The sequence below is a fragment of the Homo sapiens genome, chromosome 3 (assembly GCF_000001405.40).
Source record: "Homo sapiens chromosome 3, GRCh38.p14 Primary Assembly".
Lineage (NCBI taxonomy): Eukaryota > Metazoa > Chordata > Mammalia > Primates > Hominidae > Homo > Homo sapiens.
Window position 1 is genome coordinate 187,830,467 of NC_000003.12, and position 12,754 is coordinate 187,843,220.

A 12,754-nucleotide genomic window follows, 5' to 3' on the forward strand; every position below is an offset into this window, starting at 1 on the left:
ACCCCTCCATGCTGCTCTACTTTTTTTCCCCATAGGACTTAGCACCTCCGAACACAGCAGACAATTTTCATATTTATTGTGTTGATTAATATTTGCCCTTGCCTGCTAGGATATAAACTCAACAAGGGCAGAGATTGTCCTCTCTTATTGACTGAGGTATGGCTGCTGCCTAGTGAACCTGGTTGCATGGAAGAGAAGGTAATTAAAGAGAATGTAACTTTAAATAAAATTATTTTGAAGTAGTTTCAAACTTACAGAACAGTTGCAAAAACAGTACGGAGTTCAAATGTACCCCTCATGGAGATATGTTAACATTTTATCATCACATTTCCTTTTGGAATGAATGTTTAATGATATTAGTATTCGCATGAATCATGATAATAGTAATGACACGTTTGGAACTCTCTAGGTTTGCAGAAGGCTTTGTTTTTTTCCTTCAAGCTCTAGCCTACAGATCACTCTTCACATCTCCAAGATAGTGAGGGCAAAGATTATTGTACCCGTGAACAGACTAGAAGAGTGAGGCTTATTCAGGTCAGGTGACATCTTACCTAAGGTCACACAGTTGTAAAGGGCAAGAGCAAATCTGTGAGTGGAGCCGAGGTTTCCTCGCTCATAGCTGGGTACTGCTTCTTCTGCACAGTTGGTCCGTTTTACAACCAAACTCTGTCTCCTCTGCTCTTGACGTCAGTTACTGCCTGGGTCAAGAGTGACTCTCTGACAGCAAAGATGGCAACTGCCTCACGTAGGCTGGGATGCCCCATGGACAGCTGTAAGTCACACTGCAAAGGGCATGAGTCACCTGCATTCTTGCCCCTCTGCTACACGTGCTTCCTTCACTCAGCCCCTCTGAACACTGGTGTCCACAGTGCCAGTTGGGAGGTGGTGCTGCCAGCTGGGGCTGACCGCAGGGTCCTCAGGCACCCTCCAGCCTGGTGACTGAGATGCCATCTGGCACTCCCGACAGCTGCAGGGCCTCCAGCCTGACCCAGGAAGCAGGAGAATGGGAACACGACGTTAACAGGTGGGGGAAAGATTTCCCACCTCTGATCCAAGCACCATCACTTCCTAGATACAAGTTACTCATCCTCTCCAGGCCTCTGTTTCATCAGCTTCAGAATGGAGAGAATAAACAGTTCTGAGAGTGATCATGATTCCTCAATCCTGAGTTTCCTTAGCCTGTGATTCCTATACATTCAAAGAAGAGGTCTGAGACCCTGATCCCCAAACAGGAAAACTGCCAATGGGGAGACATTGGTAGAGATGAAGAAGGGGCAAGAGATGTCAAAGGGAAAGCAATCTGATGTAGCAGCCTACTGGGAGAATGACATGAGTTAAGATAGGTCAAGAATGTGGTCAGTGGTCAAAATTATTTACAATAACAGTGGTGAGGAGAGCATCTGTCCTTGAGTCTTGCTCTATTTCTGCCACACTGCCCTAAGTCAGGCCTTTGTTTTGTCACTCCCGTAATCCTGCAGTAAACTTCAGTGTGGTGTCCTGGTCATCAATGTCTTCCCACTCCAACCTAATCTGCCTACTGCTGTTAGAGGAATTTTCCTAAAACACAGCTGTGTCACGTGTACTTTTCCTATTCAAAATCCTTCAGTGGCTTCCTACAATCTCCTGAGTTAGGTACAAATCACTCACCCTGGCAGTCAAGCCTCTCCATAAATTAAGCCCCAACCTATCTTTCTCACTGTATTCCAACTACCCCCTGACACTTGTGGAATGCTTCAGGAAACCTGCTCTTCACTGCCCTCCAAATAGGTGCTAGCTGTCTGTCCCTTGCTGACAGCAATTAAGATAGTACAGTAGTAAGAGATGGTACAGTAGTCGTAGATGGTAGAGTAGTAGTTAAGAGATCAGGTTCTGGGTCCAGAAAGCCTGAGTTTGAGTAGCTGTGTGGCTTTGGACAAGTTGCATGGCTTCTCTGAGCTTCAGTTTCCTCATCTGTAAACAAGAATTTAATAATGGCGCCTCCTATAGGGAAGGTTGTGAAGATAAAAGATGTAAAGCAATTGGTGAACAGTGAATACTCAATAAATATTTCTCATGATTTAATCATTAATTTCTTACACTGACTATGTCCTCTTCATCCGATGCCCATGCCTGTCTCTGTTAACAGCTCCCTGCCAGACTAATGAGCCCCTCCCCATTCCTCATCCTTCACACACCTTTTGAGACACTCCCTTCTTTCCCCTTTACAGTGTAGTAACTTGATTAGGCTTATTTTCCTACCCAACTGCAAAGTTCTTGAAGGCAGGGAGGAGCCTGTCTCCCACAGGTCTCTATATCTTTCTCAGGATCTAGAACAGCACCCAGCACCTAGAAGGTCTCAGTAAGGATGTGTTCGGTGAAAGAATAAAGGAAAGAAATCACAGAAGGCTCAATAAGGAATGAAAGCATGGATAAGTCAAGTTTGAGGGGCATCCTGAAAACCTGGGGGTAGGGTGCCACTTCCCAAAATGGGGGACACGGCTGGGCTGAGCGAGGGCTCTGCTTTAGGGTGCCCCTTTCCTCATGGGACAAAGCCCAGCTTGGAGCAGTTTTCTCTATCCAGGGCCCTGCTGTGCTGGAGCAGGTGTGATAGAAAAGCCCTGGATGAAGTGGGGGTGGGATAGAAAATAGGGGGAGGGGCTGTCAGCGAGTGGGCTCTATTCCAGTTTGCCTCTAAGTTGCTGAGGCACCTTGGAAGAGTCACCTGTCCTGGCATCTAAAAGGGAAGCTGGGCCAGAGTAGTGGTTCTTAATGTTGGTCCCAAGAAAGCAACATTGTAATCCCATGACAGCCTATTAAAAGTATAGAATATTAGGCTGGGTGTGGTAGCTCATGCTTGTAATCCCAGCACTTTAGGAGGCTGAGGTGGGCTTGAGTTTAGGAGTTAGAGACATAGGCAGCATAGCAAGACCTTGTCTCTACAAAAGAGAGAAAAATTAGCCAGGTGTGGTGGCACATACCTGTAGTCCCAGCCTCTTGGGAGGCTCAGGTGTGAGGATTGCTTGAGCCCAGGAGGTCAATGCTGCAGTGAGCAGTGATTGGGTCACTATACTCCAGCCTAGGCAACAGAGTGAGAACCTATCTCAAAAAAACAAAAACATAAAAATGAAATATCAGCAATAATGAATCAGCAAGTCTGGGGAGAGGCGCAGCCATCTGTGTTTTATATCTAGCCCTCCAGAAGATTCTGAGGCACACTCAAGTTCGAGAACCACTGGGCTAGACCCATGGGGGCTTTCCAGGTTGTTTCCATTTTTGTTTGCTCCGATTTTTTCCAGTGAAATCTTAGGAAAGTGCCCAGTATGTAAGGTACATTAAAGTAGAGTCCCTCTGGTTGAGGGAGGGGCAAGGCCCCCCCCACTCTGACTCTTCCTCGCCATGCACACTCTGCTCAGTAAGAATCCCTGGTTGGAAAGTTCTCAAGGCGGCCAAAGAGCATAGATTTGTGGGGCTTGTCAAACCTGGCACTGCTGGTGGGATGAGCCTCCGAGAAAGCACCCCTGCATTGGCATCCTGGTCAGTGCCCCCAGCAGACTCTGCTGTGTATCCAGGGGACCTGGCACTGAAGCCCCAGATAGCCCTGTGTGAAGAAGGTGGCTGGGGCTCCACAGTGCCCTCCACGTAGGCTTCCTGAAACAGGGCAAGGCAGCCCGCTGAACCACATTTGTGGATGTGAGGGAGGAGCTGCCCTGCGTTTTGGGAGGCAGCAGTCACACTTCATTTTCACTCTGGCTGCTTTTGGAGACAATATGGCACCACTCAGATTTTTATATCCTCTTTTTCATGAAGCACAGCAGATCGTGTGAAGCAGTCAAGAGGCCTGCGGAAATATTCATCTGGACCCACAAATTCACTCTCTCAGCCTCTCCCACTCCTGCCTATGTGGACCGATGAGTCACTTGAATTTCTTTTTCATTTCTCTTTCTGAAGTGAAGATGATGGGGAGGAGAAACCTGAGGGCTGGGGGATGGGATGTTGGGGAAACCCATGGGTAGACAGCTTCATAGAAGAGGCCACACTGTTGGAGAAGCAGAGGGAGACTAATTTGAGGTCTGTTGTATACAACAGATGATGGCTATGAGATTCTTTTATTATATTATACTTTAAGTTCTGGGATACACGTGCAGAATGTGCAGGTTTGTTACATAGGTATGCACATGCCATGGTGGTTTGCTGCACCCATCAAACTTTCATCTACATTAGATCTTTCTCCTAATGCTATCCCTCCCCACCACTCCCCACCCCTGACAGGCCCCAGTTTGTGATGTTACCCTCCCTGTGTCCATGTGTTCTCATTCTCCTGTGTCCATGTGTCTCTGTCTCCTTCAGTTCTGCTCTGATCTTAGTCATTTCTTGCCTTCTGCTAGCTTTTGAATTTGTTTGCTCTTGCTTCTCTAGTTCTTTTAATTGTGATATTACGGTGTCGATTTTAGATCTTTCCTGCTTTCTCCTGTGGGCATTTGGTGCTATAAATTTCCCTCTAAACACTGCTTTAGCTGTGTCCCAGAGACTCTAGTACATTGTGTCTTTGTTCTCATTGGTTTCAAAGAACTTATTTATTTCTTCCTTAATTTTGTTATTTACCCAGTAGTCATTCAGGAGCAGGTTGTCAGTTTCCATGTCGTTGTCCGGTTCTGACTGAGTTTCTTAATCCTGAGTTCTAACTTGATTGCACTGTGATCTGAGAGACTGTAATGATTTCCATTCTTTTGCATTTGCTGAGGAGTGTTTTATTTCCAATTATGTGGTCAATTTTAGAATAAGTGCGATGTGGTGCTGAGAAGAATGTACATTCTATTGATTTGGGGTGGAGAGTTCCACAGATGTCTATTAGGTCCTCTTGGTCCAGAGCTTAGTTCACATCCTGAATATCCTGGTTAATTTTCTGTCTTGTTGATCTGCCTAATATTGACAGTGAGGTGTTAAAAGTCTCCCACTATTATTGTGTGGGAGTCTAAGTCTCTTTGTAGGTCTCTAAGAACTTGCTTTATGAATGTGGGTGCTCCTGTATTGGGTGCATATATATTTAGGAGAGTTAGCTCTTCTTGTTGCATTGATCCCTTTACCAGTATGTAATGCCCTTCTTTGTCTTTTTTGATCTTTGTTGGTTTAAAGTCTGTTTTATCAGAGGCTAGGATTGCAACCTCTGCTTTTTTTTGTGTGTGTGTGCTTTCCATTTCCTTGGTAAATATTACTCCATCCCTTTATTTTGGGCCCATGTGTGTCTTTGCACGTGAGATGGGTCTCCTGAATAAAGCACACCGATGGGTCTTGACTCTTTACCCAATTTGGCTGCAAGATTCTTTAAGGGCAGAGAATTGAGGCCAGGTATTACCTCCCTGATCTGAGGTAGCATTTGGATATGCATTCCTTACCCAAGAGCACATATCATCCCAATAGCAGTGGGTGGGAAGTTGGGCTGGGTAGGGAGAAGAGAGGTTGGTGCCAGAGTACATAAGTTGATGTGAAAGTGGCCATCTTCCTAATGCCATCCCAGGATATGTGTGCCTCATGCAGCTGGGCAGAAGGAAATCTCCGTGTTCTGGGGCACCGCCGAAAACCTTTATGTAACAGTATCATTCTCAGAAGGAGAAGAAGTACCATGCTGTGGGAAGGCATTGCCATTTTCTCAACATAGAGAGACCTCTTCTCTTGGTCCAGGTACTATGAAACATGACCCACGTATGTTCACATCCCTGTGCCTTGACTTCTGCATCTGAAAATAGGGAAAAATAATATCAACTCACTTCTTTTGCCTGGGGACACTAAAAAAAGCACGTAAGGCAGAGTTGATCATATTGGCATTTTCCATTTGTCTAATATTACCACTTAAAAGTGCTTCATGTTTGTTATCTCATCTGATCCCCCAATCAACCTGGTCACACACTATTATCCTCGTGAGGAAACTGTGACTCAGAGAGGTTAAAAGTTCTTCCAAGGGTCACACAGCAAGTCAGTGGTGGCCTGTTTCTTGATTCCCCATTCATTACTTTCCCCTAGATTCTGCTAACTTCTCATCTGTGAAATGCAGACCATTCAAGAGAAAGATGACTCCCAGTTGTGTCTTTCTTTTTTTTAAGACAAGGTCTCGCTTTGTCACCCAGGCTGGAGTGCAGTGGCGCAATCTCAGCTCACTGCAGCCATGATCTCCCTGGGCTCAAACGATCCTCCCACTTTAGCCTCCAAAGTAGCTGGGACTACATGCGTGCCACCACACCTGGCTAATTTTTGTATTTTTTGTATAGACAGGGTTTCGCCATGTTGCCCAGGCTAGTCTTGAGCTCCTGGGCTCAAGTGATCCACCTGCCTCGGCCTCCCAGAGTGCTGGGATTACAGCCGTGAGCCACTGTGCCTGACTGTTGTGTCATTTTTGTTCCCTGTTGCTCTAAACACTTGCAACCTCAATGCATTATACATTTTCCCCTCTCCTGGAACTCAGCCCTTTCTCTCCGTAAAGACTGGCTCCATGTTTCCTTGGGATAAGCTTGCAGAAGACTTGGCTGTGGCTTTTGCCCTATTTATTTCTCGGCTCAGAATTCCTTAGGATTCCACTGGGCTCATTCCATTTATGAGTTCTCAGCAGGAGTCAGTGGGAAACATTGCTTTCCTGTGGATTCCAGAGAGTTTGACTCCATGACCTCTAAGACTGTTCAAACACTGCGATTGTGTGACTTTATAATCTAGAAAAAAGATTTCTAAGGCATTCCTAGGGGTAGTGGGCTTCCCAGGGGAATGGGTTCATTTCATATGGCTGGAAGTCACTGAGCTAAGATCCAATTGAGAAGTGTGTGGGCTCAGGCATGAGGCAGCTCTGGAGCTGGGGGCGTCTTCCCACCAGCTCACGTAATGGAAGGCCCCTCACCTGTCTCTGAATTCCCTTTTCACCACACTTCTGAAATAGGGGTGGAAACAGCTGTCCATAAAATGCTTTGTGACCAGGCAGCAGGCGTTGTACTGTGGCCAAGTTTTACGGAACAGATGAGCTTTGCTAAACCCATCTCCCTAGGCATTCAAATGTGGAATATTTGGAGAAATACAAAATGCTATTGCTGGAAGGGGTGTTTTAGCAGTGATGAAGCCAAACCATCTACTCTCTTAATATCTGCCCTATATACTACTCTCAAGGAGGGATCGTCCAGATGAAGTGCTTCCAATGACAGCAGGCTCACTATTCCAGAAAGCAGCCCCTTTCTCTGTTGTGTATCTGTCAGGAAGCTCTGCTCAATAATGAATGGGAAACATATTGCTTTTAGTGTGCACCCTTCTTCTCTAGTTCTGTCCTCTAGGTTCCACTCTCACTTCCACCATTGTTATAGGATGGGACTTGAAGGTAGCTTTAATAACCATTCTTTCAAGGGAGTCTATGGTTGTCATCTGGCCAGGTGCAGATGCCACGTCTAGGGAAGGTGAGAAAAGGGGCAAGGAGGCTTTGGGTTTTGCCTTTCTCTCTTCCAGCTCTAGAGAACTAAGAATAAGACCCTATCTGTATACCCTCACATCCCTGACTCTAGTAGGTACCTGCCAGACAGCCTGTTTTACTGTGCAGCTTATCATCAGAGTGCTTTTTATTGTACCTCTGGATAAGAACACAGTCAAATGTTAATAAGAATTTTTTTTTAAAAAAAAGGAAGGAAGAATTAACTGACCAAGCAGAGGATGGAATGATTTTATGATGGTTTCAGCACTGAGGCGGAAAAGGAGGATGCTTGCTCTGTCGTGCACACCTGTGGCCCTTGGAAGGAATATTTATCACAGATGGACTGGGCTTCTGTTTAGTCATCTAGGGATTAAATGCCTGCTAGTCCCTCCCCTGCTACGAAGAATGCTCCAGGCTGCAGATTTATACAGAATGGCATTTCCAAAATACCAAAACGGGGCTATTCACTCTATGCCCATAGTAAAGAGTTTCTAATAGCTCAAATGTCTGACATTCTAGAACTCATTTTGTGTTTGAGGAGCAGAATGGGGAAATAGCATGGGAATTAAGTCTCAAAGGTTGGGGCTGGGTATGAGCTCTGTGACTTCCGGATGACATGATTATTGGCCAAATCACTTCACATCTGTAAGTCTCAGTTTCTGAGTCAGTAAAATTAAGGAAGAGAAATTCCTAAACTCTAGTGCATGTGTTTGTTAATTTCAATATAAAATCAGCTAAAATTTCTTCTGTAAATGACTTTCATTATCACCAACATTAAAATGGCGTATCCAAAAATCCTTCTCGAGTCATTCAAGGTTTCCAGTGTAAATTCAAAATAGAGAAACAGCTCTTTAATGCACTCAGTGTTTTGTGATGTTAGATTACATAGATACAAGTTTGAGATTTTATCAACTAGCCATTACATATTAAAGAGTAAGGTAACTCACAAGTGCTCTCATAAGTATTGAGAAATGAAATCTTGTCTCCTATTGAGGTTTGAAATCTTTGTAATCTATTGCAGGCGCATACTAGATTGTAGTGTGCTTCTCGGGCCACCAGGAAATTTCAAGTTACATTATACCCAACCTATGACTTTTGTTTTTCCCCATCCATTCATTTATTCTTCCATCTATCCATTAATTAATTCATTCAATGACCATATTTACTTTACTAAGTCTCTGCTATATGCCATGAAGGATCCAGTGTGGTTTCTCATCTAAAGAGCTCACAGTATAGTTGTAGATATGAGACATGTACACAAATAATAGCAGTATATGGCAGAGTGAAATAAATGCTATATGATATTTATCAATAAGCTGATGTGAAAACTTAAAAGGGAAGCAACTAATCCCATCTCCCTAGTAGTAGAAAGAGGGGAAGGGTTTAGTGAAGACTTTATCTATTCTGATATTAAAATTAAATTAAAACACACCTACAGTGATACAGTATGAGCATTAGCAGCTCTCATGGGCTTGTTTTCTGGATTTCTCATTTCCCAGCTGACTGGCTTTGAACTGTTTTCTACTCCTCAGCTTTCTCAGAATAGCACCTACCTTCTAGAATTGTCAACAGTGTCCAGCACGTAGTAAGAAGTCAATAAATGTTAGATGGCATTGTTTTTAGTAAAATTTCTAAAGGCAGCAAAGGAAAGCAAGGGTGTTCCAAGCAGAGGGAACAGCCTGAGCCAGGTCTTGTGGTAAGAAAGTTTCCAGAGAAGATGACTAGCCCTATGTGTTTGTACAGTTGAGTGTGTGGGTCATCACGGAATGGGGCAGGTACGGTGATGATTGGAGGTGTGGCTAAAGAAGTAGGTCACTGATATTGGAAGCCTAAGAAATCCTATCTCGGTAGATCAAAGATTTCCAAAGTGCAGTGTGCGCTCTCAGAAGGGTGTGCAAATCATAATGAATTTTCATTCAGGTTTACTTTTATTTTTTAAAAGGGAAAAGTTTAAAAGTACTATTATTTCATATACAGATTGAATATGGGATCCTTGTTAGATCCCTGTTCACACAGTTTCTTGCCACATGTCCAACTAAGGCTATTCTGAGGGAGGGGTCGAAATTTTATGCCCTAGAGGGTCTGCAAGGTACCCACAACACCATTCTTAATTATCTAGTTTCATGGGTTTATGGATTTTTATACAGATTTAACTGAATAAAAAGTCACATAATAGACCAGTGATTTTTAAAAGATTTCTGTAAAGAACTTGTGGATTGAGAATAGCACTTATAACGAACACAAGCAAACGACAAGAAAATGGCAGAGCTGACTTTTCTCCTATCCTAGCTTTCCTTTAGCCACATTTTGGGGAGGATAAAACTAATGATGACCTGATCATATATATCAAACAGTAAACAAAAAAAATTCAAATTTTCAGGAAGAGTGCTTCAAGTATGGATTTACATTCACTATTATTAATGGTGAGCCCTGTCTAAGGTGTGGATTATGCCCTGAGACAGTAGAAAAGATAGTAAGATGTCATTAAGAATAGCATGCATTTGAAAATAGTCTTCATTTCATGTTCATATCTTCTGTTATACTTCCCAGTTTTAATTTGTTATTATAAAGTGCATAATCTATTGGCATGGCTCTACACACAGGCACACACATGTACCATAAATCTATCGAGGTGCACATGCCAGTCTTCTTCAGCACTAGGGTTACATATTTAGAGAAGTTTGAAGATTGCTGATTTAGGTCCTGGGAAACTGTTATTTGGAGGTTCTTGAGCAGTAGGAGACATGATCGAAGCTGTGTTTGAGGGTAATAAATTTCATCACAACTCCCCCCACCCCGCCCCCAGGGAAAAAAAAAAAAAAGCATTGCACAAAGAATACAGAGAAGTGGAGTCTGGAAGAGAGCTGTTAAACAGCTCGGCTCCTTCTCTTCCAGAAATGTTGTTTTCTCTTCCTTCCTAAGGACCACTGACCTCCTCCAACGACCAGCAAGAACTAGTGAGATATATTCCACCAGCCAGGCCTTCTGTGGCTGCCTGCATAGGAAGAAGACTGCCTAAAAATATTCCTTAACTAATTTCCTCTCCTCTAGGTTTCTTGCTCTATTACAAGCCAAGTCTAAGGATCCTCAGCTTTCACTTGCTATTTGAGATTATGGGGTTTGTCTTGTGATGCAGACATTCCAAGTTTACCTGTTTACAGAAGGCAGACTTCCAGAGTAGCCGGAGGCATGGGCTCTAGAGTCAGACAACCTATCTTCAAATTCCAGCTCTATCAGGCACTACTACGCTCACCATGGGCTACTTTCTTTCTGCCACAGGTTCCTCATCTGTAAAGTGGGAATAATCATCCTATCTGTGTGGCAGTTGGTAAGAAGTAAATAAGATAATGAGTGTATGTAATCCCAGCACTTTGGGAGGCCAAGTCGGGCGGATCTTGAGGTCAGGAGATTGAGACCATCCTGGCTAACACGGTGAAACCCCATCTCTACTAAAAATACAAAAAATTAGCCGGGCGTGGTGGCAGGCACCTCTAGTCCCAGATACTTGGGAGGCTGAGGCAAGAGAATGGCTTGAACCCGGGAGGTGGAGCTTGCAGTGAGCCGAGATGGAGCCACTGCACTCCAGGCTAGGCGACAGAGCGAGACTCTGTCTCAAACAAAACAAAACAAAACAAAACAAAACAAAACAAAACAAAACAAAAAAAGATAATGCGCGTAAAAGACAGAGTTAATTCCTGGCATAGAAAAAATTCCCAAGGAATGTGAATTCATATCATTACAAAGGAATGAACTGAGGCATGGTCTGAAGGGCCTAGGGCAGAAAAAGGGAAGGAGGCTTCCAGGAATGCAGATCCTTTAATCTCTTTAAAGCAATATCCAAACAGAAGTCTAAGTCTCTATGGACGCTGGCATGCTCAAGGATGCCAGTGAAGGGGGCAGAGATGGCTGCCTCTGAGTCACCCTCCCTCCTTGACTCATCTGCCACCTCTGTTATCTCTGGCTATTGCCACAGTTTCTCATGAGAAATTATGAAATAAATGGCCTGCATGGTAATGCCTGGGTGAATAGGTGAACCTCGGGCATGTGGCCAACTCTCCATTCATTTTAAACATCCTTGGGTTTAGTGAACTCTAGATGATTACATCTCTTTTATCAAAAGACAAAATTACAACAAATTTAGTTTAAAGATCTCAGTTGGCTTCATTTGCAATTCTAGAATCCGGCAACACTCCATTCCGTACAATGAAGTAAGTGTCCCAGTGAACGGAGCAGAAGAGGTTTGCTTTATAGACAGAGAAGGGCTGAAGAAAGCAGGAGCAAAGTACAAAGACTATTAGTTCCTTTTAGACAGAACAGGAGAAAAATAACTGATTAATTAACATGAGGTTACTTCAGGCTGCCTTTTTTTTTAAGGTTGTCTTAAAAATTTTTGTTTATTTATATGTGATATTTGTACATATTTATAGGGTACATGTGATGTTTTGTTATGTGCATAGAGTGTGTGATGACCAAGTCAAGGTATTTAAGGGTCTATCATCTTGAGTATTTACCATTTCTATGTGTTGGGAGAAACATACATGTACCCATCAACGAACCTCCCGTCATCACTCTGCCCCACACTACACATACCCTCGTCCCAGCCTCTGGCCTCTATTGTTCTACTCTCTGCCTCCAGAGGATCAAAGTTTTCAGTGCACACACATGAGCGAGAACATTTGATATTTATCCTTCTGCACCTGGTGTGTCTCAATAACATAATGACCTCCTGTTCTATCCATGGTCAGCCTACCTTTTTTGTGTAAGGATTTAAAAAGTGAAACTTCATTATTATGCCAACCGAAGATGTAAACTGGCCTGTTTGGGAAATTGGCTAATTCTTCTGATTCTCCTCCAGTCAGATAACAACTTAGCTTAGGTTTGGTGACGTGGAATTATATCAAGGATGACATCATTTTGATTTTTTACTCTGGTCTGTTGGGACCTAGTGCAGGAGTGTAGTCCAAAACAATGGCCTTATATAATTTTTATTTAACACCTTTAAAAAATGCTAATAATCACTTTCAGGAGGACTTAGAGAAGCAAACCTAACACTCTGAGGCCCCACAGTGTGAGGTTTACCCGAAGATCAAAACTGTGGTGGGTGTCAGAGTAAACCCTGTCTATGCATGGCCATAGTGTTTTGTGTGCAGGTGTAGGCAGAGCCTGGAGGAGGGCAGCTGATCGTGGCAGCAATCAAGCCATCACACCAATTTGAGCAAATTTCTCTATTTTCCAGCTGATCTATAGCAGCTGGAAAATAGTTATATAGTTAATTTGGGGATTACTTATACATGAATCTTGTCTCTGGTAATCATACCAGGTATTTTATTTTCTTCTATT

The 12,754-nt window shown here is 43.5% G+C and overlaps 1 long non-coding RNA gene across 1 annotated transcript in view; it reads right to left on the minus strand.

The window, feature by feature from the left end:
• Positions 1 to 327: 327 nt before the first annotated feature.
• The window catches only part of LOC105374264 (uncharacterized), a 59,909-nt gene continuing 47,482 nt past the window's right edge, over positions 328 to 12,754 (minus strand). The window contains exon 3 of the long non-coding RNA XR_924813.3: positions 328 to 5,713. This is a non-coding gene — a long non-coding RNA (uncharacterized LOC105374264). The remainder of the gene's footprint in view (positions 5,714 to 12,754) is intronic.